Source organism: Homo sapiens, chromosome 6 (genome assembly GCF_000001405.40).
Source record: "Homo sapiens chromosome 6, GRCh38.p14 Primary Assembly".
Taxonomy (NCBI): domain Eukaryota; kingdom Metazoa; phylum Chordata; class Mammalia; order Primates; family Hominidae; genus Homo; species Homo sapiens.
In genome coordinates, this window is record NC_000006.12 from 9115707 (window position 1) to 9142245 (window position 26539).

The 26539-nt window shown below is 38.7% G+C and overlaps 1 long non-coding RNA gene across 1 annotated transcript; it reads right to left on the reverse strand.

Moving 5' to 3' along the window:
• Positions 1-8514: 8514 nt before the first annotated feature.
• On the reverse strand, positions 8515-24692 carry LOC107986562 (uncharacterized). The gene is made up of 2 exons (XR_001743957.2): positions 24617-24692; positions 8515-9000 (listed from the first exon to the last, which is right to left on the reverse strand). It is a non-coding gene; the product is annotated as an uncharacterized LOC107986562 (long non-coding RNA).
• Positions 24693-26539: the final 1847 nt, after the last annotated feature.

Sequence of the window (26539 nt, forward strand, 5' to 3'; positions counted from 1 at the left end):
CTATGATGAATAAGAATGATTTGCTTTCCTTAGAGAATAACACTTCCCACAGAGGCCCATGTGCCACGGCAAGATAACATTTTCCAGGGGCAGACTTTCAAAGTGTAAAGCTCTAGGCAAAGTTGCCTTGGAGTCCCCTTGAGATCTTGGGGAGAGAGATAACTCACACGAGGGGAGATGCCCCTTCAGCCAGGCAAGATGCCAGCATGGACAAGAGAGAAGCACATCATCTCCCGTGGGTCTAAACACAGAGCTGCTGGAGTGGGAGGCTCCAGACAGCCATCAATGTCTCAGGTCCAAATCTGGCAAGGTCCCTGAGCTTTTGGTAAATATTATTGTACTCGCTGTCTTTGTGGCTTTGAGGCACACATTTCTGTAAAAGCCATGTAGCTTGAAAACAAGGACTTAAAAGCACACACTGTCTATGTTGCATCTTCCACTCTGTCTAAGAATGTCTGTGGAACAATAGAGAGTAGGAGGTCGAGCACCGGAGCGGCATTTGATGTGGCCTTCTGCTGCTAATTACTGGCATGGGGAGCCCTGCTCTCCCAGTTGTGACTCACCAGTGCCCCTTGATTAAATGCAGACGAGGATTTAGTTACCACAACATGCATCAGCTTTGTTGAACTTCCTCTTGGTCTCACTTCCTGCTTCGGAAATGAATTCTCTCAATCCATAGTCATTCTATCAGGCCCATCATAAACTCTTGAGAGAGAGAGAAGGGGTTGTGCTTTGTGATACCCTTGGGGAGCTCAGAGATGGAATTCAGGGCTGTTTATCCCAAGACCGTGGTCTTGTCAGCACTCAGATTTAACAAGCACGGTGGACCATGGACAATGAAGAAGAGCACAGAAATACATCAGGGTCTACTTTGATTAAAATTTCACCCCCACCTTGCAGTTTTGAAATGTCTTAGCTTTCATTTATATTTATATGTTGTCTGACTCTACCAGATTCATTGTCTACAACTAGATCCTGATGTTCTGTGTGGTTCACAGGGACGGAGACACATTTGCCTCGATCAAAACAGACAAGAGTCTCAGTATGTCTGGGTTGCATAATTGAATGAATTCTTTCTCATACTGTGCCTCTCTGATTTTCTTTAAAATGGTGAGACTTCATTTTCCTTAAAAAATGTCATGAGGAGTTAGCAGTTCAAGAATATCTGCTTTAGGGTTGCCTTCTGCCATCAAATCATAGAATTAAGAGTCAAAAGGCAACCTGCAAGTCTTCTGTTTAATTTCCTTCCAAATGATAAAATACCTTCTAGAGCAGGTGATACTCAGCAATGGCTCTCATGGTTGGAAAGCTGCTTATTTTATGGAATTTAAGTCTACTTCCTTGTAACTTCTACTCATTGGTTCTAGTTCTGTCTCCTGGTGAAAGGGCAAAAACAACAACGCACCAAAAACAACAACAAATAAGATCTCAGATAGTACTCTGTTTTTCTTCACCAAACTAGAGAAGACACTAGCAGGATGTTCCTGGAATGTCCTTCTGTTCGTTAGTGTGGGAGCAGATGAGAGATAACTTCTTTCCTCAGGACACACAACATGTCGTAGTAGTTGTAGTCCTGATGTTCCACCCCCATCAGTACTCCCTGTAGAGGGGAAGAGCATGCACAACTTACTAGCCACTGACTTCCAATAACAGAACTTCCCACAAACCATAACACTTTAAGAAATAGGAAGTTTTAGGTAGTATATTAAGATGTCTATCACTTTTTTACTCAGCCGGAATAATGCTATTTTTCTGTTGAGACAAATAGAATGTTGACGTGGTAACCTTTCAGTTTCTTCAGGCAGCCGTTGTCTACACCTTTTTGACTTTTAGTTTGGGAACCAGGTAACCTGAATTCAAACCCTGATTCTGTCATTCAGTTATGTAAACACAAGCAAGTAAATTCACCTCTCTGAAATTTAGTGTTTATCAGTAAAGTGGAAAAAACACTTAACTACAGTATTAAAAGAGAATTCCATAAGGTAACTAGCAGACAGTGCTCAGTATCACATTTGGCATTATTTCATATTCATTCAATTCAATCCTATGCTAATATAGCTGAAATGTCCTCATGCCGGACTGTTTGTAATGAGTAGAAGAATAATCCTACATAAAGCTCCCTACGTCTCTGTTCAATTTAATTCAATTTGACCAAGATGTATTGAGCAGCTACTACATGCAAGGCTCACCGACATAGTGATGCCAACATGAGCTACATTTTATTGAGTACTTACTCTGCTTCAGGAACTCGCTAAGAGTTTCATTACCTTATATACTTTGATTCTTACAACAACATGAGAGAGGGGTGTTGTTCAAGATGTTTCACAAGTAGCATAGTTCTGCCCGTAGTACATTGCCTGTATGGGAAGCTCAAAGGGCCTATTTTACAGAAGAGAAAATTAAGGATTTGAGATATTAAAGGAGCTCATCTTTGCTATAGCAAGTGGCCAAACTTTTAGGGCTGTTTCATGAGACTGTAATTCATGGGCTACCATTGTGAATCAAGGTAAGTCCTTCCCATCGCTGTGGCTCTCAGTTCTAATTCTCTTGTTTGGGGTTCTGTTATATAGCAAGTGAATACAGTTTTCATAAGTCAGTGCATCCAGAAAGCTTTGTTTCAGATGTTCCAAGCCACTGGTTTCTCAGTCAGAAATATTTATTGCCTCTTTTCATTGCCATTAAAGGTTCAAGCTCAGAATGCTTTCTAACACCTGTTAATATTAATACAATTTCAGTAGTAGCATTAAGGAATGCCAGTTCTGGGTTGTGGGGGTCCCTAGGCCCACACCAGCAATGCTCTCGTCTTCCTGCAGAGGTTCTGCCAGTGCCTCAAGAATGTCCTCAGAGTTCTGTCCATTCTTCTTCTGCTCAGACGTTTTGTCTGAAAGTATTTTCCCAGGCCAGAGCTGGACTCTGTATAGAGTACAGAGGAAGGGCCAAGGTATGACTTTACTCCCACCACTTATATCTGAGAGCACAGGCACAGAGGGCAGTTTGTCACAAATCTGAGTGTGCCCGAGCTACATTCATGAATAATAAATAGGCTTCATATTGCCTCACATTCCCATTCCCATCCCAAGTATGAGGCTGGCTTTGTTGACTGCAAATGAAAACTGCTTATTTATAGGGAGGAAGATGGGAGTGGAAGGGCAGATTTTAGCGGGTTGGAAATCATATTAATAAATAAGCTGAGAAATATTTGACTTGGGTAAATGCTCAGGTAGAATTTGAACATTGAGAATCATGCATTCATCTGTGTGTAAGAAATAAGAGTCAAGGATAATCCTATAGCTTAATCCCCCAAAATATGATCCACAGAGCATCCTGTGTATTTCAGAATGCAACAGGAATGTGTGCGTATGCTCTTGGATTTCGACGAATGACTTCGAGCCCTGGGATCTGTTGCCTTGTGAACTTTTGCAGCCTGTCAAACCACAGTCTAGTAGTAAGAGAAACCGTCCTCTGCCTGGTCCAAAGATGCCAATGTGGATAGTTTGTCGTCCTTGAAATGTGGTGTGACCCTCACAGCTACCACGTTTCTGAAGGCATCAGAAAAATCAACCATACTTAAGAGTTAAAATACCGCACGTATCATACATTTTTAAAAGTCAGAGTAACAAGAGTATATGGAATAAGAAGATGAAGCAATCCACTAATCACCATTTTAATCTCACTGTCAAGTCAGCTTTATATATATTTTGCCTACATAGTTTCTTAGGAGTAGTGTCTCCTTGTAAATGTGCTGATTGCCTCTTAATTAAGTGATCTTATTTATAATACTAAAGAAACTCAGTAGAGACAAAAATGAGAATCACATTTTAAACTATTAGACATAAGGTCAAAAATAAAGGCTTATTGCAAGGCAGCATTATCATCATCCAAGTGTCTCTTGCTTACACTGTGTTGTGACAAAGTAAAATCTATTTCAGCTGTTATATGGCAATAGCTGTTATTTATGAAACATAAAAAGATACTGAAATACAAAAGGGCTTGAAAAGACCAGGGTAAGATCAGATAAAAACATGAGAAAGAAACAGGCATCCTGGGATGGTAACTACCCTGCCATGTACTGACAGGAAGGTTGTATATTTTTAGAATATACTGAAAGGAATGGTGCTTTTACTTAGGTTTTTATGGTTTACCACGAGATGCAATTTTCTGGCCTTATATGCAGTTGTAACAAAAGTCAGAGACGTTTTATGATAGCTGCCACAGTTCATAAATGATGGGATACACTCAAATATTTATAGAACTGTAAAATCTTGATTTCTCTCTGGTTTAGCAGATGGGGCCCTAAAACCAGTTCCCGGATTGTCACATTTCTTCACCCTTTGATGACAAAAAAGCCTGTTGTCAGTTTTCTTCTCTGGAGAACAAGTTCACTAGTGTGAACAAGGTCACACTCTCACTCAATTTTCTGTATTTGAATAATGCCAATTAAGAGTGATCTGAGCAGAAGTTATAATTACTCTGGACATACTTCTTGGCATGAGACTCTAGGTTAGTATAGAAAAGATATCCTCTGATGTACTTTTTACTCATTCCTTTGTCTTCATTTCTGGGAAAATTCACTTCTAAACCTGTATCACCCACAGAAATAAGTATCACACCAATATTAAGACTAGTCTATTCAAGTGGCTGAGGGAATTTCTGCTGTCGTGTGTGTGTGTGTGTGTGTGTGTGTGTGTGTGTGTGTGTGTGTGTGCGCGCGCGCGCGCATGTGTATTTTAAAATGTACTGTAAGATAAATTTATTTTTCTGTTAAGGTCACCAAATTTGAGCATCCTTTACAATTAATTTAAGTATTATTTTTATTATCTTTGGATCTGGACTCTTGCTCTGTCACCCAGGCTGGAGTGCAGTGGTGCCATCGTAGCTCACTGCAGCCTCGAATTCCTGGGCTCAAGTGATCCTCCTGCCTCAGCCTCCTAAGTAGCCAAGACTACAGGCATGCACCACTGTGCCCAGTCAGAGTATTTAAAATTAAAAGGAATGACTGTAAGTTGGATGGTGATGGAGGTAAGAAATCCACATTGATGGATTGATAATGGTATTTTTCTGATTTTAGAAATTCAACCAACAAAAGAAACACAAATACTTGTAAAATAGGTGTATATAGTAGTTATTTAGGAAGCATCATAGAAAAGGCAATCTGAATAAAATTTTAAGCCAATAGATGACAGAGATAAGTAGCTAAATAGATAATCAACTGACTGATAGACTAAAGACATATTTGCGTACATGTGGTTTGTTAGACAGAGTTTGCAAATTTTCTATTTTCTCTTGAGGAATGCTACTAAAATTAAGTAGATAAAATATCTAATTAAAATCTATACACTGATGGTGACATTTTTGTTGATAGCAAAAAATGATGTCTCTCCTAATGCTTCTATTTTTCATTATATGCTTTAAGAAGAAATGCATTTGAAATAAAAATCTTAAATTATATATGCATAGATGAAAATAGTAATAAAATGTAGCTTACTCAGTTGTGCTCAATATTAAAGAGAAATATAAAATCTTCAGTTTTACTGAATCAGAATCTCAGAGTGGACAGAGCTGGAGAAATCTGTAATTCAACGAACTCCCAGGGTGATAAAGATGATTTACTAACTTTGTGAACCAAACCCCTCTCTCGCCCCATGAGCTTGAGGAGACACTAGCATAGCCCACAAATTAGATGCAGATATAATCAATATCTTGTTTTAAATCTAGCTTTCCAGGATATTCCTTAATGGGATATTGCATAACTAACTTAATTTACACAACAATTTCACCCAGTGCTATTATTTAAGCATAGTTTGAGATAAATGAAGGAGTATGCTTATTACTTCTTTTGGTAAGAAATTACACTGGCTATAATTACATTGAAATAATTAAGATAATATTTGGAATACTCTCCTGACCTAGTTGGGTTTGTTTCTGGATGCACACAAGTGTTCTAGTGTTCTACCATCTGTTTGAATTATGCGGGTGGAGAGCCTATCAGGCTCCTGTACAGTGCCAAGAGTAGCTGGCTTAGTCCACCCTGGATAGCCATGAGTCACTCCCCACCCAAATTCACACTTGCATCAGGACACGCAGATACATGTAATATAAAAATGCTGTGCTGGCTACACAGACACAGCTTCCATTTAAATCACGTAGCAGGCCAGGTCCAGTGGCTCACACCTGTGATCCCAGCACTTTGGGAGGCTGAGGCAGGCAGATCACCAAGGTCAGGAGATGGAGGCCAGCCTGGCCAACATGGTAAAACCCCATCTCTACTGAAAATACAAAAATATTAGGCAGGCATGGTGGTTGGCTCCTGTAATCCCAGATGCCTGGAAGGCTGAGGGAGGAGAATCACTTGAACCTGAAGGCTGAGGTTGCAGTGAGCTGAAATCACGTCATTGCACTCCAGCCTAGGCGACAAGAGCAAAAAATCCGACTCAATAAATAAATAAATAATTCATGTGGCACCCCTCTAACCAGGTTGCTGCCTCCACATTTACTTTACTTCTTACCCTTCTCATTATTGCCTCTGGTTCTCTGTGGAGATTATTGTAAGCTTTTCTCCATTTTTTACAGAATTTTTTTGTACATGGCATACAGAATCGTATCAGTGATAGGGGATTTTTATAGAGGTACCTAAGAAATAGCAATATACGTCAATCTGATTCAAATCAAATTCAGTTGAATTCAGTTTAGTAAGTATTTATCGAGCCCTTGCTATGTGCTGGGTTCTGGGCTCGCTACTGAGGGTGTAAAGAAATGGGAGAGAAGGTTCTTACCTTCATGGAGCTTTAGCTTAAATTTCTAGGATACAGGTGAGGCGTGGATGGGTCATATCTGAATAAAAATAATCCTTAACTGAAAGAGAATATGACATCTTCTGTAATGGTGATTTCTCTTCAGTGCTTTTGCAGAGGAGATAGTGATTTTAACCACAGAAAGCTATGTGAAGGAACAAATACAGGAGTGGTTTCAAACCAAAGGTATAAAGTAAAAAAGAGTTATAGGATTAGGAGAATACAAGGTGAGCCTTGGGACTACTCAAACCTCTGTTCTGGATAGAACATGGCTTATTTTTTAGTGTGTATGACAGTGGAATTAAGTTCACAGCATAATGCAAATTCCATTGATCCACATTATTCAAGGATTCTATATTTGCAAATTCACCTAGTCCCAAATATTTATTTGTAACCCCACGATCAATGCCCTTGCATCGCTTTCACCATGTTTCATGGACATGTTCAACCCCGTCCCCCTCTGCACATCATTCCAATTGGCATGGAACAATGTGGCACTCTGCCGCCTTTCAGCTCTCTGCTGTAAACAAGTGTCCTTTTAGCAGTCTATTAAATGCCACCTTGTTTTTTCATTTTTGTACTTTTTTTGGTGTTGTACTGTTTAGAATGGCTTCCGAGTGTTGGTAGTGTTGAGTGCTCTCCAGTGATCCTCAGCACAAGAGACTACAATGTGCCCTATGAAGAAAATATGTGTTAGGTGCTTCATTCAAGCATAGTTTTCATGTTGGTAGCCATGAGTTTAATGGTAATGAATCAATATATAAAAAATAAGGTAACTGTACAGGGAAACACACATAAAACAAGGTTATATATTATTTGGTTAACAAAAATGCTATTACCAGAGGTTCATAGGAAACGAACTCTATATTTCTCCTAGGAACAATGGCTCAGTATTCACTAATTCAGTGTTTGTGGTGACTTTTTAAACACACCTACAATGAATAGTGAGAATCACCTCTATCTAACGAGAAGCTAAGTATTGAGGGCTTTATTTTCCAAGCAGTGAAGACTGCTGAAGAATTTTTAGCTAAGAGACAAGTTAGGAAAACAGGTGCTCCATTTTTTTTAGATGTGTATATGTGTCTGGCTTATTTCACTTGATGTCCCCAGCTCCATCCATGTTGTGGCTAAAGGCAGGACTGTCTCCTTTTTTAAGGCTGAATAATATTCCACTACACACACACACACCCACACGCATATATACACCACTGTTTTTTATCCATTTGTCCATTGGTTGGCGAACACCTGGGTTGTTTCCATAGCCTAGCTATTGTGAATAACGCTGCAATGTACATGGGGGTGCAGAGATCTTTACAAGGTAGTGATTTCATTTTCTTTGGATGTAGACCCAGAAGAGGGATTGCTGGGTCATAACACAGCTCCATTTTTAATTTCTTTAGGAATTTTTATATTGTATTAGGAATTTGTGTTAAATACGTAGATTTCAGGTGTTCTTATTACACACAAAAAAGCAACTATGTGAGATGATAGATAGGTTAAACTGCCTCACTATAGTAATCATTGTACTATCTCTCAGTCTGTGTACATATACATATATACACAGATTTGTATATATGTATATATACACAGATATATATATATAGATATGTATATATATGTATATGTATATATGTATATATACACATATACAGAGAGAGAGAGAGAGTAAGCACTGCAATCCTAATGTTACATCAGGTAGTAAAACTGAAATATACACAACAAATTATTTTAAAAGAAAGAGAAGTGTGTATTCAAAAACAGAATATAGAATTACTCTAAAAAAATACAATGGAGGGGAAGGGAAGAAATGATTACACAAAGGAAGAAACAGTAGAAAATGATTGCAGTGAATACAAAGGCAGTCATTATAATAAACACAGTAAATGCATATTTGAGACCTGGATATTGACTGTGTCCAGAGATGCTCCGAGTTTTCAAGCCATTAGATGTGACACCAAACACCTTTCCCCCAACAATTGTAATGTCGCGGGAAATGATGATTTACAGTTTTGCTTAAAGATTAAATTGTAAGGTGATCTGACTTGTATTTACATGTGGAGAATTTGAATTAAGAGACAGTGAAGGCCTTTCAGAAAGTTGAAAGGCCACACAATTCTGAAGGATCAGTGGGAATGCAAGAGGACGTAATTGTGAAGAGTGGTGAAGATATTCCAGGACCATCTCGCAGAGCCAAGCACTTCACTCACACCTGCAAGAGGGTCAAAGAGACCATGGAGATGTTAATGTAAATACTTTCTTGATGAACTCACATGATATAGTTGGAGGTTGCACAACATACTTGAAGAAAATAATGATGGTTTGTTATTTGGAAATAGAACTCCTGGACCTTTTTATTATCTACAAGGTTCAAATGAATAAACAATTCAAACCAAGGCCTCTCTTTGGTTTAAATTTTCCTACTACTTGTGAGATTTGAGCTGCCCTCTCATAATCTACCTGAGTCCAGGCTTTATGGTGTCAGGACCCGTAGTTTTATTTTAGCCCTAATTCCAATAACTAGCTGGCCCATCTTGCTTAATCATTTAGCCTTTCTGTACTATGTAAGTAAAAGTGATTCTAAAAGCTCCTTTACTTACCACTACAAATTATTGTCTGTCCAAAATGCACAAATTCATATGAAAGTGCTTTGAAAACCTAAATGTAATTTGTAAAGTAATTTTTGTAATTTATACAGTGACTTGAGGATCGCTGTAGTGACCTGTCTTTCTTCCCCAGATGTCACCTATTTTTTCAGCCTGACATCCCCAAAATAGATGGGTTTCTGGGGATTTAGTTTTTCTTCTAGAATCCCAGTTAAATTCAAGTATCTTACCTGGGAGGAGTGATACATAAGCAGTTCTTATATGGAGATTCTTGCAACAGAGTGTTTTGTGAGTAGTGGAGGAAACTATTATTCTTATATCATGAGGCAAAAAAAAAAAAAAATACTATTGGAAAGTCTGCATGTTTTATAGGCCTTGGCAATTTCTGAGCATGAGGGACTATAAACTCTAAAGTTCAGCACAGGCTCCCTTGAGGAGGGACCACAGGGTCACAAGGAAGAGGAGCAGACAGAGAGGGGCAGGGCTGGGTTACAGTGCTGTCATCAACAAAACGTTGTCTTTTCTTACTCCAATTGAAGCAACCTGTAAAAATTACCCCAGACTAACATATTTAATGTTCAGATGGAATGAGATACACTATATAGTCTAAACATTTATGCTCCCCGCTAAAATTCATATGTTGATACCTAATTGGCAGTGTGACGGTCATAGGGGGTGGGGCCTTTGGGAGGTGATTAGGTCATGAGGGTGGAGCCCTCATGAATGGAATTAGTGACCTTATAACAGAGGCCCCAGGGAGGTCTCTCAGCCCTTACTCTGTGTGAGGACACAGTGAGAAGACAGATGCTTGTGAACCAGGAAGCAGTCCCTCTCCAGACACTGAATCAACCAACACCTTGTTCTTGGACTTCTCAGCCTTCAGAACTGTGAAAAATAAATTTCTGTTGTTTGTAAGTCACCCTGCCTATGATATTCTGTTATAGCAGTCTGAATGGACTAAGACAGGATAACAAAGTTTGTCTATTACTTCGGATATGTTTGGAAGCAAACAGTGAAGGTCTGATGTCTCTAGACCTATTATTATATGCCAAGATAGTAGACATTCTTTGTGAGACTATTTGAAAAAACTTACTAGAAGGAATGAAAAAAATGTGAGAAATTATTCTTTTTTTTTTTTGAGATGGAGTCTCGCTCTGTCACCCAGGCTGGAGTGCAGGGACGCGATCTCGGCTCACTGCAAGCTCTGCCTGCCGGGTTCATGCCATTCTCCTGACTCAGCCTCCTGAGTAGCCGGGACTACAGGCGCCCGCCACCACTCCCGGCTAATTTTTTGTATTTTTAGTAGAGATGGGGTTTCACTGTGTTAGCCAGGATGGTCTCGATCTCGTGACCTCATGATCCACCTGCCTCAGCCTCCCAAAGTGCTGGAATTACAGGCGTGAGCCACCGCACCCGGCCGAGAAATTTTTTAAAAAAGAAACCAAGGCACAAGTATCTACCATCTAAAATTAACAGCATTAAAAAAACAATGGGAATGAAATGGAAAGGAAAAGATGAACACCAGTCACACTGCAAGAGAAATATTTTGAAAAGGTATTGATTAACTCCTAGAAGGAAATTTGTTTTTCCCTTTATCCGAGAAATTCTGCTTTGACTTGAACTTGGAGAACAGGAACACCTGCTAAACAAGGAAAATTTTGTGTGCTATTGCAGAAGTAAATAAGAAAATGATAACTTCCAAGAATATTTATTTGGTGCTAGTCAGTCCTGGCAGGGAGTTAGGCAGCAGGGAGATGAGCTTAAAGGGTTTAAAAGGCTGTATTTCAGTGTGAAGGGTGCTTGTTAGAAACCCATAGAGAGTTAAGCAATTATCCGAGATGATGTTGCAGTGCTTACGGGGTGCAGAGATGTGGATGGCTGTCTTTGAAAGAGATCAGCTAGGAAAAACTGTTCAATCACTTCTAGAATGGATGTGCTAAGCTATGTTCCTAAATGGATATCAACTCAGTAAATTTGACAGCTGGGAACATTAAACATCCACGTGTCTGTGTTTGTGTCTAAAGATGCAGTAAATTCATTGAAGACAAGTCTGTGGTATTACCTGGTTTCTCCAAAGAGATGCTATTTGGGGAATTAAGAGAGAGGTTTTTTTCAGCTTGCCTTTGCAACTCAAGCTTGTCCCATAGTGCTCGCACTTTTTATGCCGGCTGTGCGCACACAGGCAGATAATCAGAAGATGAGTCACAATCCTGGTTACATCACTGATTAGTCATGAAGCGTCAGAAAAGCAGCTAACTTATCCATTTTCCTGACTTCATTTATTCAACGGAAGAAAGTAGAGAGCTGCCTCTTTGATGAGTGTACCCGTGGTCCTAACAAACTTGGCATGCTTTCAAACTACATAGGCTATCGTATAAACATTCACACAATCATGTATAGAGTAGAGCTGAAGGGAGACAGAATGCATTTTAGTTTAGGTGCACTCTCAATTACTGTAACATCTGCCATATTTTGCAGAGGCTACCCTAGAGATATACCTGAACAAAAACACTCACCTGTGAGGAAATGCAAGCAGATTACAGACCAGATTATTGAGGAGAGAGAATAACAATTCATTCCTGAATAAGATACCAGCTCTTTATCAATTTAATGACATTAATTAAAAAAATCCTACGTGAAAGTGAAATATGTCATTACTTACTTTTTCACTGAGGCAATGCTGTCCTTCCCACAAATCATAGAAAGATGTTGCCCCTCTGCATAAAAGAATATTCTACCTTTCTCATCCTCTTTGCTCTGTTGAAACCAAGGGACTATACATAATTTTCTGATTTATATATTTTATATCTGACATAATAATTTATTTCTTTTTCTTAGAAACAGAAATTTCTTAATTTCTTTATGCTATGTATAGCATAAAGAAATAAAATAAATTCTAGTGGTAAGCAGAATTCTGAGATGGCTGTCGAGGTTTCCACCTACTGGTGTACATGCCACGTTTAATCCCCTCCCCTTCAGCGGATCTGATGATTAGGTTACCTTATAGGAGCCAGGCGGTGGCATAGTCCCTCTCATGTTGACATTATATTATATAAGACAAGGTGACAGAGGACTAGAAAGAAATTCTCCTGCTGAACTTTAAGAGCAAAAAGAGGGCCTTGTGGGTCCTGTAGGAGCTAAAAACAACCCCCACACTGACAAGAAAGTAGGACTTTAGTCCTGTAACTGTGGTACAGTTTGGACATGAAATGGAATTCTGAATATTGGAGGTGGGGCCTGGTAGGAGGTGACTGGATCATGAGGGTGGGTTTCTCATGAATTATTTAGCACCATCTCCCTTGGTACTCTCCTCAGGATAGTGAGTTCTTATAAGATCTGGTCATTTAAGTGTGTGGCACCTCCCTCCTCTCTCTCTTGATCCTGCTCTAGCCATGTGACGCGTCTGTTCCCCCTTCACCTTCTGCTAGGATTGTAAGCTTCCTGAGGCCTCACCAAAAGCCAAGCCGATTCTGGCACCATGCTTCCTGTACAGCCTGCAGAACGATGAGTCGATTAAACCCCTTTCCTTATAATTACCCATCCTCAGGTATTTCTTTATAGTAATGTGAGAATGACCCAATACAAACTTCAAAGAACAAAATTATTTCAGCAATGTGAATGAGCTTGGGAGGAGATCCTGAACCTCAGGTGAGATGGCAGCAAGAGCAGACACCTCGACTGCAGTCCAATGAGCCCTTGCAGAGGCCCAGCTAACCCAGGCCCAGACACCTGACCTTGGGGAGTTGTGAGATGATAAATTTGTGTTGTTTTAAAATGAAATTTGTCATGCAGCAATAGAAAAGTAACACTGGTACCAAGCATGTGTTGAGGGAAGCTACTTTTAGCAGATACTTTGAAATCTCAATGGGTGGGGGGTGGGGGTGGGGAGATGGGGCAGCGATTGGTTGGAATTCCCAAAGCAGGAGGGATCTGCTGTTCAGCATAAATGCTAGAGCTGGAAGAGAAAAGTACAACTGCACGTATTGCAGTTGCATTTGAAGAAAAAATTGCAGTGACACAGAGAGTATTTGGTTCCAAAGCATGCTAAAGAAATGTCATAATAGTGTCATAAAAGACTACAGTAATGAATGCCCTGATATCCTTAAATAGTTTTGTGTCTATCATAGACTAAGAATTACAGAGATAAAATCTGTAAAAACCAACCAGTGGTAATGAATGTGCTACTTCCCCTGCCATTGTGTAGTTTTTGACTATGCATGCATAATGTAACAAAAATTCACTTTTACATTGTGCTTTTCATTCTAGATAGTTATATCAACATCTTTCTTTTCCCAGTTGCCATCCAGTTTTTAAATTAGTATTTTGAAAATATTGTAGAGGTTGTATGTTTATTTGATATAAGTCATAATTATTTCTCTCTGTTGTTGAGCATCTAGGTGGTTTGAAATGTTCATTACTGCAGTAAACACAGTAATCAATACTGCAATAAACACCTTTGTACATGTACTATTGTAATGTTTTTGGATTTTTTTCTCATGATAAATTGTGAAAAGGGGGGTTGTTATAACATTCACGACACACCATGGAAGCTATCCTAAAAGAAATAACGAGAAGATTGACTTGCCTATAAAAGCACCTCAGCAGATATTTTTAGAACCACACTCAGTAAATAACAAATATTTCACTGTCCAAAAAGTTTAATTGCTCGTTCACAAAGCATGTCATTTCATCTAATTACCCACAATAGTTGATAAACAACATTACTGTGTACCTATGTCTATGCATAGAAGGAACAAAGATGTTAAATGTTAACTATTCTAACATGATTCTCAAGAATAATAATAGAATTATATTTAAGAATGCTGAATAATATTATTAAATAATACTTAAATATGCTTATATATGCATGTGTACATTTAGATGTGTAGTTTATCTACATATCTATCTACATATATAAATATACATATGCATATGCATATATAAACATAGATAAGTCTTACTTACTAAAGTGTTACTAAAAATGTCAGAGGCTATAATGAGAAGACCAAAAAGTGAATTCAATCCTATTAAGTATATATTAAAGTAGATTTTGAATTTGGTGGTAAATTGGTCACAGGCCCTTGAAACATATGTACACGATATGTTTCTCACAGGCCCTTGAACCTCCTGTTCAGCATAAATTCTACAGCATATATGTACACTGTATGTTTCAAGGCCCTGTGACCAAACATATGTACACTATATGTTTCTACTTTCTCTACACTACAGAGAGGCTGTGTGTGTGCGTGTGTGTGTGTGTGTGTGTATATATAATGTATATACAGCCTCTCTACACTATAGATTAGAAAATGCAAATTTTGTGGCCAGGTGCAGTGGCTCATGCCTACAATTCCAGCACTTTGGGAGGCCGAGGTGGGCAGATCACAAGGTCAAGAGTTCGAGACCAGCCTGACCAACATGGTGAAACCCTGTCTCTACTCAAAAATACAAAAATTAGCTGGGCTTGGTGGTGCACGCCTGTAGTCCCAGCTACTCAGGAGGCTAAGGCAGGTGAATTGCTTGAACCCGGGAGGCGGAGGTTACAGTGAGTGGAGATTGCACCACAGCACACCAGCCTGGAGACAGAGCGAGACTCCATCTAAAAAAAAAAAAAAGTTGTAGCATAATTGTAAATATTTTGTCCTGTATATAAGATTACATCTGACAGGTTGCTATTTTTACCCTAATCAAATAAAAATAATTTCTTTCATTGGTCTATAATAATGGCATCCTCTTTTTTTTTTCTGAATAGAGAATCAAGTAGAACTTCTATTATTTCCAAGAAATTGTGGACAAACCTTGTCATTTTGCATCTACCATTCCCATGTTGCTTGTCAAATGAGGATCCTGAACACAGTTTCTAGGATGATGAGGACGTTGTAGTTCTCCTATTATTCTGCTGATGGAATTAGTGTTCAGGGTGGTGCATTCTGGGATGACTGCATCTGTCCTATGCTATGAATAGTGCTAGCCTAGTACTGAAGGTAGGTCAATGTATCATGCACTTGAGGTATTTGCCTGTTCATTTTTAGTGTTGAATTTAGCATAATGCACAGCATTGGAGAAGACAGAAGAAGAAGAAAACCATTTAGATTTGCTCAGATACCAAAATTATGGCAAAGTGTATGGCTTTTAGGGATGTGTTTATTCCTGTCCAAGCCTATCAACATTGTTTCTCAAGACTATGAATTTACAGTCATGGAGAAGGTCTTCCCATTGGCTTCCTCTTGATGCCTTCTAAGTACTTAAACACATAACAATAAACAATAAGAATAGCAGAAATGTGCACATAACTCGTGCCAACTCTGCTGGCATAAATCCGACACTTTTATTTGGGCCACAACAGGACACGAAAGGGTGAGATATTATACTGACATGGGGTGTAGAATTTCTTCTCTGACTTCTCACTCCAGTGTGCTTCCAGGAATTAGTGTTAATTACTACCAAGAAAGCTGTGATAGATAATTCTGATCACTTCTTATTTTAGTTATATATGAATAATTCAGGAAAAGCCAACCTCTCCACCCTATCAAAAACACTCCCCACTTTCAAACTTTCTCTGAGAACTGTGCATAGCTAGTAAATCAATTTGATGATTATTCTATTCCAAAGAGCATGCAATGATTTACATTTATATGCCACAAATTTCCTTCCTGTTGCCCCAGCAAGAGCTAGAGCATGATTGATAATGATGCGAAAGTGCTGGCACAGACGTTCCGCGGCCTCAGCATGCTTGCGTTGCCCAGTGTGACAAGCTCCTCCTTGTATGCACAATGCTCTCATGCAGGTAGCATGTGACGCAAGGCCGAGAGTGCCAGCAGATTCTTGATTGTTTTAGTACGGGACAAGTACTGACCCCTATGACAATAAATGTGTTTGGCATTTATCTTCTTAGCAGGTCAATACTGAATGTCATCCTTAGGGGAGGGGTGCTGTTTAGCTTCTTGTAATTAGTTTAGTTGCCTCTGTTGAATCCCTAATGGACTCCTGTATCATAAAAAACATTCTTTTCTGGAATGGTTGTCAGTTTCATTGTGTCTGCTCCCTCCTTCCAAGCCTCCCCTCCCCACTTTATTCTCTTCCTGGGAAAAAGAAAAAATAAATAAACACAAGTTTGAAAGATTAAAGTGATACCAAAGACAAAAATGTATCCCTCTTTATTCTACTAATTTACAAATTCTATAATCAGAATTAAAGGAAAGATACATCTTGAATTTTGTTAGACTTACAACGTTCATATCATTATGAAATTATTTCTTTTGAAAACTTTAAATAACACTCAGTTTTTGGGTATTATGCCTTTCTCAGAAAATAATCTCTGGAGATCCTACTGTTCTGCTGTCAAGGTGAAAGTGGTCACTACAACTCATGTTGCTTCCCAGGATGATATGATTGTTATTATTTCTTATTAACTGAACAAGATGACAATCACAGATAGGCAGTTTTTTACCCCTTAGTGTTTTAGCTCTTTTAACTTCCCATGGACAATACAATCAAATCTATAAAAAGTATCCATACCAAAAATATAGGGCAATCTAGGTTGGAAATGTATTTCATTCAGCGAAGTGAAATTTAATATTGTAGGATTTAAGTTTTGGTTAGATATCAGATACTCTTAATGAAGATATTTAAAACTATGGCAAAGTGTTTCTCAAATTTTAGCTTAGCTAAAGATCAGTCAGGATGCTTGTTAAAAACACACTTACAGGCATCATCGTAGAGATTTTGATTCAGTAGGTATGGCAAAAAAAAAAAAAAAAATCAGCATTTCAAAAGTGCCCCCACATAATTACAGTAAGGTAGTTTCTGGAATCATCTGGAAAAACAGCTGTGGGTTTTTTAAAGTAGTGTTTTTTTTTTTTCTTTATGCTAATAAAATATAGGTTGACTCTCATCTGCAGATTGTAGTCAATTTTTCTGAGATTATGAGTCCCATTAAATTTTCAAATGGGATCACGCAAAGAATACACTGTCCTGCATTCCATCATAGCCCCATTCAGTATTTTTAATTGCAATATTTCTTATAAAAGTGACTTTTGGAGTATTTTTGTTTGTCTTCTTTTTTAGTAAACATAATTTCCTTGGGTTTAATATCTGCATTTTATTTTAATAAGTAAATATTTTTGGAGTTTGAGTGCAAATCTAAGAAATTAGAAATAATATACTTCTATGTTTCGCTTTATCTGGGGATCCATAAGTGGGTTTCAAGGACAAAATATGTGTGCAACTATCTGTTAGGTTTTTCAAGCATTCATTTATTTACTGGAGCTTCCATGACTCCCAAAGAGGTCCATGTCTCAAGAAACATTAAAATTTAATATAGGAAAATTAGAAGGAGAGTCATAGAAATGCAAAACCCCATTTACCAACAAGTTGTTAAAGAAATGACTGGCCATCTTTTTGTTGGTAATGTGTCACCTTTAAAGGGGATTAATAGGGCCTAACAGGAAAGCATCATTTCTTTGTTCTCTTCTCAGCCTGGTGAGATAGGGTTTTACAAAGTGGTTGCTTAGTAACTTGCCCAGTATGACTATTTTTCCTCTCCCCATATGCAGACATAGTTAATTGCGAGATTTTGAATTATTACAGTAATTTTCTATTTCAGTGACCTTATTGATAGAAGAGAGAATTACAGAATTTCTGAAGTCAAATTTTTTGATCTAGGGCAGCATATGGTAATGACACTGTATTCTGGATATATGTAAACTACTCATTAGAAATGAAAACAAAAGTCTCAGAAAAGAAGTGTTGACTTGATCAAAGTCCCTAAGATAGTAAATAATTGAGTCTAGGAGGCTTAAAACCAGATGTATCTTATGCCAAAGCCCATGGCATGCTTTCCCATCCCAACTCGATCCTATCTCAGTTTTGTTTGGCTCTAATCATCATTAATATATTTCCTTGGTAACCAAGAGTTAAAATGACATGGACAGTCTCCCTTACGTTTCCCATTAGTTCAAATTATTAAATGATGCTTAGAACTAAATTGAGTATAAGGGTTTCCTTATTATTCTTCAACTTCCTGATTCATGAAACTGCAGAAAAAATAAGAATGTTTTAGGTGTTCTACTTTTAGAAGAATGAAAAGAAACAGTGACCCAACAGTTGAATACTACTGTGACCATAAATTGCCTTTATGCCAGATTTTCATCTGTATCAGGAAAATATTACCCATAATCTCATTTGACAAGATAATCTCTGAGCTACCTCCATACCAAAATCATTTGTATTGTCTTTTGATCTTTTGATCTTTACCCCATTGCCTTTTAATGTGCATTCTATGTTAAATGATTTTACATAAATGATTATAATTTCTTGACATAGGGATTTTTTCTGCTTTCAGGTCTATTTATTCTCTTTTCTTCAAATAAGGCATTTTTTTTTCTGTCATCAGCCATAGTTCATCCTTATCTTATCTCATCTGAAGTATTCTGGGGTCTTGTTCAGCTTTTTCCACTAAAATTCAAAATAACTTATTTATTCTCTATGAATTTATATAGACACTTTCTGTAGTGTTAGGTATGAATCCCAATTCTTAACCTTCATGATCCTTGGAAAATTTCTGTGTATTCTCTACGTACTTCTTTGCCTTAAAGGTTTCTCAGGAAGGGTAGTGCACACCTGTAATCCCAGCTACTCTGGCGGCTGAGGCAGGTGAATCACTTGAACCCAGGAGGCGGAGGCTGCAGTGAGCCGAGATCGTGCCACTTCATTCCAGCCTGGGTGACAGAGTGAGACTCACTCTGTTGGCCAGGATGATCTTGAACTCTTGACCTCAAGTGATCCACCTGCCTCGGACTTCCAAAGTGCTGGGATTACAGGCATAAGCCACTGTGCCCGGCCCAGTCCTCTTTTATATATGTATTAATATATACATTCTTCCTATTGACTACAAATTAATCTTTTTTAAAAAGTTCTGTCTTGGACCATTTTCTCAATCCTTGCCAAGAATTCTTCATTCTCTCTAACAGTTCAAGATAAAGAGAGACTCATTGTATGAGTCTGTTCTCACACTGCTCTAAAGAACTGCCCAAGACTGGGTAATTTATTATTATTTTTTTTTTTTTTTTGAGACGGAGTCTCGCTCTGTCGCTCAGGCTGGAGTGCAGTGGCACGATCTCGGCTCACTGCAAGCTCCGCCTCCTGGGTTTACGCCATTCTCCTGCCTCAGCCTCCTGAGTAGCTGGGACTACAGGCGCCGCCACCGCCCCTGGCTAATTTTTTGTATTTTTAGTAGAGATGGGGTTTCACCGTGTTAGCCAGGATGGTCTTGATCTCCTGACCTTGTGATCTGCCAGCCTCGGTCTCCCAAAGTGCTGGGATTACAGGCTTGAGCCACCGCTCCCGGCCTAGACTGGGTAATTTATAAAGAAAAAATTTCCTGAGGCCTCCATATCGCTGAGAAGACCTCAGGAAACTCACAATCATGGAAGAAGGGGAAGCAGGCATGTCTTACATGGCAGCAGGTGAGAGAGAGCAAGAAGAGGGAACTTAAAACCATCAGCTCTCATGAGAACTCCCTCAATATCACCAGAACAGCCTGGGGGAAACCACCCCCATTATCCAATCACCTCCCACCAGGTCCCTTCCTTGACACATGGGAATTATGAGGATTACAATTGGAGATGAGATTTGGGTGGGGACACAGAGCCAAACCATATCACTCTTGTCTCAAATCCTTCTCCTTCAACAGGAAAACTCCTTTAATTTCACTATGCATGTACCTGAAAGACAATCAAAGTATGTTCCTTGCTTGCAGTAACTGCAAAACTAGATTCCTTGCCGTGCCAGGAATCTAGTTTTAGTATTCCAGCTTTTAAAATATAAAGACAGATTCTAATTCCTTTTAGCTCTATCTGAAAGCTTCTCCTTGCAGCTATCACTTACTTCTGGGCAACTATTCAGTGTGGAGACCCCTAAGAAGTCTGTCTCAATGCCAGCTATTCTGCTCCCTAATAGACCTGGCTTCTGTGCTAAAGTGTTAGATTTTACCACTGATCAGTTCATCAACACTGAGTGTTTCAATCTAGTGTCCATGTATTGAGACACCGTGGAGATCTGTGCCTAAAATACTTACTGTTACCATTGGAAAAAGCAAAAGAAAGGAAGATTCTATCTGTATTTAGAGGCTCTTGGCATTTCAACACAACAAGGAGTGCCTGTGGAAAGCCTGCAGTTGCATTCTTCCTGTCAATATTTATATAATGCCAAGGTTCAGCCTTATAGAGAAGAACTCTCTTGTGCAATTCAAGATAGAAAGGGCCATGAAGAGCTTCCCTAAAGGCTCTCTTAACTTTCTATTCTGTGGTATAAACACAAGCCTTAGGATATTTTTATTCTACTATTTTCAAAACTTCTCACCCAAGGGAGCCAGCCAGGCCTGCAGTGACAGGAGAGTATGGGTGGTGACAGCCTAGGATTATCATTTCCGTGGTACTATTTGGGCTACTTGACAGCACAGTTGGGGACCAGAGACAACCTTGTTGAATTTATGGGTTCTGTTTTGGTTTTGACCAAAAGTTAAAAACCACAGGGCTGTGTGTGTGTGTGTGTGTGTGTGTGTGTGTGTACATCTGTGTGTGTAAAACATGAATCATTGAGAATGGTGAAACAATCCAGAGTAGAATGTTCCAGTTGTTTGCATATCTATTTTTCATAAAAACCACAGACATTTTGATGTGTATGCCTTGAATTAATGCAGAAACCAATGGCCTACATGTGAAGACACCAGCTCCAGAGAAGAGATTCACATTTGGCATATGATGGATGGAAGGAAGGACTGTGATGACAAAGGGACCAGGAGATATTTCTTATTCTTCCAGCATAATCTCTAAACCAGAAGCTTATTCCCATAGAATTTTCCAGTGAGGAAGGGTTAAGAATACTTGGGAAAATGAGGGTAAAAGATGAGCTAAATATTACCTTGTAGAAACAGTTCTTTGGGAATCGTTTATGAAGAAAATATTTTTCAATCTCGAATCATTCCATGTAGATAGTTATCGATTTATCAACTTTTTCTGTTAATGATGTTACTAATGATATAATTTAAAGACCTGAAGTTAATGGTGATATAATTTAAAGTCATGCTTTTATTTAAATGAAATCAATTTTTATCAGGATGAGAAGAAAGTCTTTAATAAAATGTATACTATGGGGTAAAATGGCAAAATGGCAATTTATTTTTCTCTCTTCTCTCTTTCTTTCCTGGATAGCCTGTGCCTGGGCCCCTACTTAGCACCAAATAAAGCCAGGGCGCAGATAACCCTATAATATTCATGACCTCTGCTGTTTTTTGCATGTCCCCTCCGGGGCCCATATTGAAATTTAATTGCCATTGTGATGGTAGTAAGAGGTGGGCCCATTATGGGATGATTAGAACATGCAGGCTCCATCCTCATGAATGGATTAATGTCATCACTGAGGGAGTGAGTTAGTTATCTCAGGAGGGGGTTCCTGAGTAAAAGTGAGTTAGCCCTCTCATGCCCATTCTTGCTCTTCTGCTCTCTTGTCCTTCCACCTCCTACCATGGGATGATGTAGTAAGGAGGCCCTCACCAGATGCCACTCTTTGACCTTGGGCTTCCCAGCCTTCAGAAGTGGAAAAAATTAAATTTATTTTCCATATAAATGACCCAGTCTGTGGTATTCTGTTACTGCAGCACAAAGTGAACTAAGACACCCTCTATTCTCAGTCTACTCACATGTGCCGCTCACACCTCATCACCTCACCTATTCCAGCTCTTCCTGCCTTCACACCTTGCAAAGCCTTTATTTAATCCATGGTTTGGCTTCACCCTCAGACCTATTACAGAGACAGTTATTGTATTTGTCTTTGACCTCAGTCTCCTTCCTTTCAAGCCTGGCTGAAGCTTTAACATCTGTCATTCTGGTGCCCTGAGTATGGAGCTCACTTATTGTAGCCCAGGTTATTATAACCATCAAATATGCATGCTCATTTGGTTTGCTCCAGGAGCTAGTGGAGAATCTAAACAAAATTCTTCTGATACAGCAGGAGCAAACTTAGAACAAGGGCGTTGAGGTCCTGCAAGGTATCCTCGTTATTCAAGTATTTTCAGTTACTACAATCAATTCACCAGTTTATTCTTTCTTGGTAACCTTTGGTCTCCAAATGTTTATATAGCCTTTCTGCAGACAATGCTGAACATCTAAATTTGATTGAGCCTAAACATATTTTCAGAGATTCTATTCCTTTCTCCCTCATGAAAACCTTCACCATGTTCCCTGGAAGGTTGGTGTCCTTGGGCAGGGTGCAATAAACCATGGGAGCCTCTTAAAAGTGTTACTCATGAAATCATCATTGCCTTTGCTGTTTTGGACCAAGAACCCAGTTTAGTGTCCCCCAAAGACCCTGCTCTGTTCTTTCCTCTTTACCTGTTCATAATCTTTTTTAACTTTCACAGGCTAGATCTTATGAAAAATAACTCTTTTCCCTGGTTGCTTCTTCCTCTGAGTTTCTGCATTTCTGCTGGTTGGCTTTACATGTTAATATTCATCACATATAACTTAATATTGCCTTCTGTTGTTTCAGCATATACATTACTTCCCCAACTAAATTTTAAGCTCCCTGAAGGAAAGAATTGTGCCTTTTTATTTTTTAGACATTCTTTACAGTAACTTATGCTGTAGCACACATACATTACCAAATAGCAAAATATCATCAGTGAGTATAAATTATGATATTAAGAATAGACTTAAAACCACCATATAAGCAGTTTTAGGGAAAAAATACATAATTGGGGTATTCATGCATTTTGAAGCCTATTAAAATATAAATGCAGAATATAGTCAGTCAATCATGGTATTCTCTATAAAGCACACTTAGGAAAGGGAAAATTCATAGCAGGAATAGTGATGTGTTTAACAAACAGGCATCAGTGTATTGAATGCTGCCAAACCCAATCCATTGCTCAACAGAATGACTATAAATAAGACAGCACAGAGGAGGAGAGTTAGAGATGAAATGGGCAATGAGGTGGAAGGAGTCGCAGCTGTTTCTTTTCATTCATTCATTGAATTCTCTGTAAATATTGGTATGGCTTGCAAAGTGGTAAACAGCATTTCTGTAAATTAGAATGACTGCTCATATCCTGGCAAGAATATCAGGGGTCTGAGTATCAGGCAAAGCAGACGATGACATCATACACGGCATGAGCTTCCCCTCGGCTTCTCCAAATGCTCCTAATTCATTTGCTCCGTAACATTTGAATATATATTTTAGCTGAGCCAACTTTTTTACCAGGAAAGTATTCAGTGCTTGTTTTAGATTCATTTTCCTGCAGCTTGCATTTTGCCATATGCATTGGGACTTGTTTACACTTTTATTTTAAGGTTTGTTCTGTTTCTGATTTTGTTTCGCACTGAAGTTCCGAATAGACAGATGTCTATTAGAAGAATTGAAATGACATATCAGAGTTTTAATGCCGTCGTTCTTGTATTTGCATATTTAATTACTTGCATCGCATTTTATTAGTATATTTTCTGATGAGGAATTCTCAGTAATTAATTTCACCTGGAATGGTATGCGGGTGTATGAAAAATTACACTTGGCCACTTGCAGAGACCAGCTGTGTATTAGAAATATCTGGTCCCCATCTGCAGGATTAAAAAAAGTGAGAGAAAACAGCTGATTGTAAAAAACAGTCACTTTACCTTGTGCCCTGAAGGTATTATTATTATTGGCAGATATCCTTTATTACTCAGCCTATATTCTGGACATTAACTCAGAAGTTTACTCTGAGCATCATTCAGTGGGATGACTTGACTTTGCATCATTTTGGTTTTAATTTGTAGTCCTGCTAATGTGATTGGGTTCCACCCGTATGCGTGCACTCGCTGCCTTCAATTCCAGCCTGACTCACACACAGCCAACTTCATTTGGACCACAAATTGTTTTGGCCTAGCTGGCAGCGGAAACCCAAAACAAAAATCTGGGAGAGTAGGGATATCATGTTAAAAGATAACCCTCAGGGTCAAACGTGGCCTCTTAGAAATGCAACCAAATCCTGTAGCAGCGCTCCAGTACACACGTGCATGTTTTTATTTTCTCTTTTTCTCTCTGTCTTGCTATGTATTTCTATGTGGATTCTTTGTCTGCCCTGACAACAGATGGTGTTTTAATAAAGTCCGGTAGGAATATTACTGTGAGTAAACAATGCAGCGCATGCCAATTCCATAATTGCTGGGTACTGATTCAGCCTCTTACCTGCTGCATCCAAATTGGGAGGGAACCAACTGTGCTTGCACCTACCGGCAGCAGCCCGCTCGCCTGCAGCTGTGGTGTGCTTCAGCAGCTAGCCTCACCACGGAAGGTAAATTGCGGCTCCTGTCATGTGTCTTGGCACCGGGTCTAGGGAATGCTGCCATCTGGCTTGTCATCAAACATGGTCATTGAATCTCTCAGAGATAAAATGGCTTTTTAAAAATCTTGCTGTTTTTTTAAAAATTGACACACATAAAATGTATTATCTTTCTCTTTACAGGCATGGTATATTCTAAAATAAGTGTTTGAGCTTATTTGAGCAATAGCTTCCAGAGTGTTGTTTTTCCTCACTGATTCCCACGCTCAAAGGGATTTATAGTCTAAACCTATTATATGTTAATGGAAAATTTAAATTCATCGGATCTGGCCAAGAAATGCAAGCTCTCATTTATATGTCTCATTGGGGAAGGGCAAAAAGTTAGGTTAACTCTCTGAATAATTTTAGTTTGTTTTTCATTGTATAGAAACATGTCCTTAACTCTTTTACTCAAAAAAGAGGGCAGGTGAAGCAAATAAAGATTGTAATCCAAATGTACGATATTTGTCCCCTCCCCATAGTCCCCTCAAACTACCTGCTAAATAGAAGTCTCCAGGAAAATCAAAGTGGCTTTGGCAGCCAGAAAGAGAAAGTCAGTGCTTACTCATTTTGTAAGAAGGCCAGCAGCATGTGATGTTTATCCAAGGATCATATTTTAAGTGACATCCAGTTTCTTCAAATACTGCCATTTTCAACAGAGTGCTCTAAACACTTTTGGTAGTGCCTACAATTATAAAAGCAAACAAAAAGCAAAATGAACTGCAGAAACAGCAGCGTAGCCTTCACAGTAGAGAAAGGTTAACGTCTGCTGGCTGACATATTCAGAGAAAAGCCTCTTGTTGCCCGGTTTGTCTGTTCAAGTAAATAAAATATATTAAACTGATAGGACACCAAACTGCTAGAGTTCATGCCAATTTTTTCTTTTCAGTAAAGGCTGCCAACTCCCCAGCTAGACTGATGGTTACATGAAATGCTAGTATTGCATCATTTTCCCTTCCATCGATTTTTAGATAGAATGATCCTGTTTTTGAATATTTTGAGAAGAATCTGAAACAAATGCAAAAACAGACAAAAATAATACACTGAAAACTCTTACACATTACCCATTCCTAACAAGTGCTCGTCCAAAGTTCCCCATCCATACCTCCTTCCTGGTTTATTTGAAACAAATTCTATCCATCCTGTCAATTTAACTGTAAACATTTCTTTATCTTTTTTTTTTAAAAGTCACAGATCTTTTTTGTCCCTTTCTGTAACTTTCTGTTTTAGCATTACTTCAAAGAAAATGTGTAATAGTATGAGGAACACCCTTTTAACCAAAATTTGCTAATGTTTTATATGTGCTTTGTCTATTTTTGTCTCTTTATATATAGTTTCAAACAAATGCATACTTTTTCAGAATCATTTGAGTGTATAGTAGGTTTCTGTTGCTACAGTAACACATAACTCAGAAACTCAAATACTGCATGCTTTCACTTATAAGTGGGAGCTAAGCAATGGCTACACGTGGACATAAAATTGGCAAAAATAGATCTTGGGAACTCCAAAAGTGAGGAGCCTGGGAGAGGCCGAGGGTTAAAAAAATTATGTACTTGGTACAATGTTCACTATTTGGGTGATGGGTGTGCTAGAAGCCCAAACCTCACCATTATGTAATATATCCATGTAACAAGCCTGCACATGTACCTCTGAATCTAAAATTTTAAAAAATTAAAAATAAAATGTACATGGAAAGGAAAGTAAAAAAAAACCCCACAAATTCCTTAACATTCTAGAATTCAGAAATCCGAAATGAGATTTCTGGGGCTAAAAAAATGTATCAGCAGGTC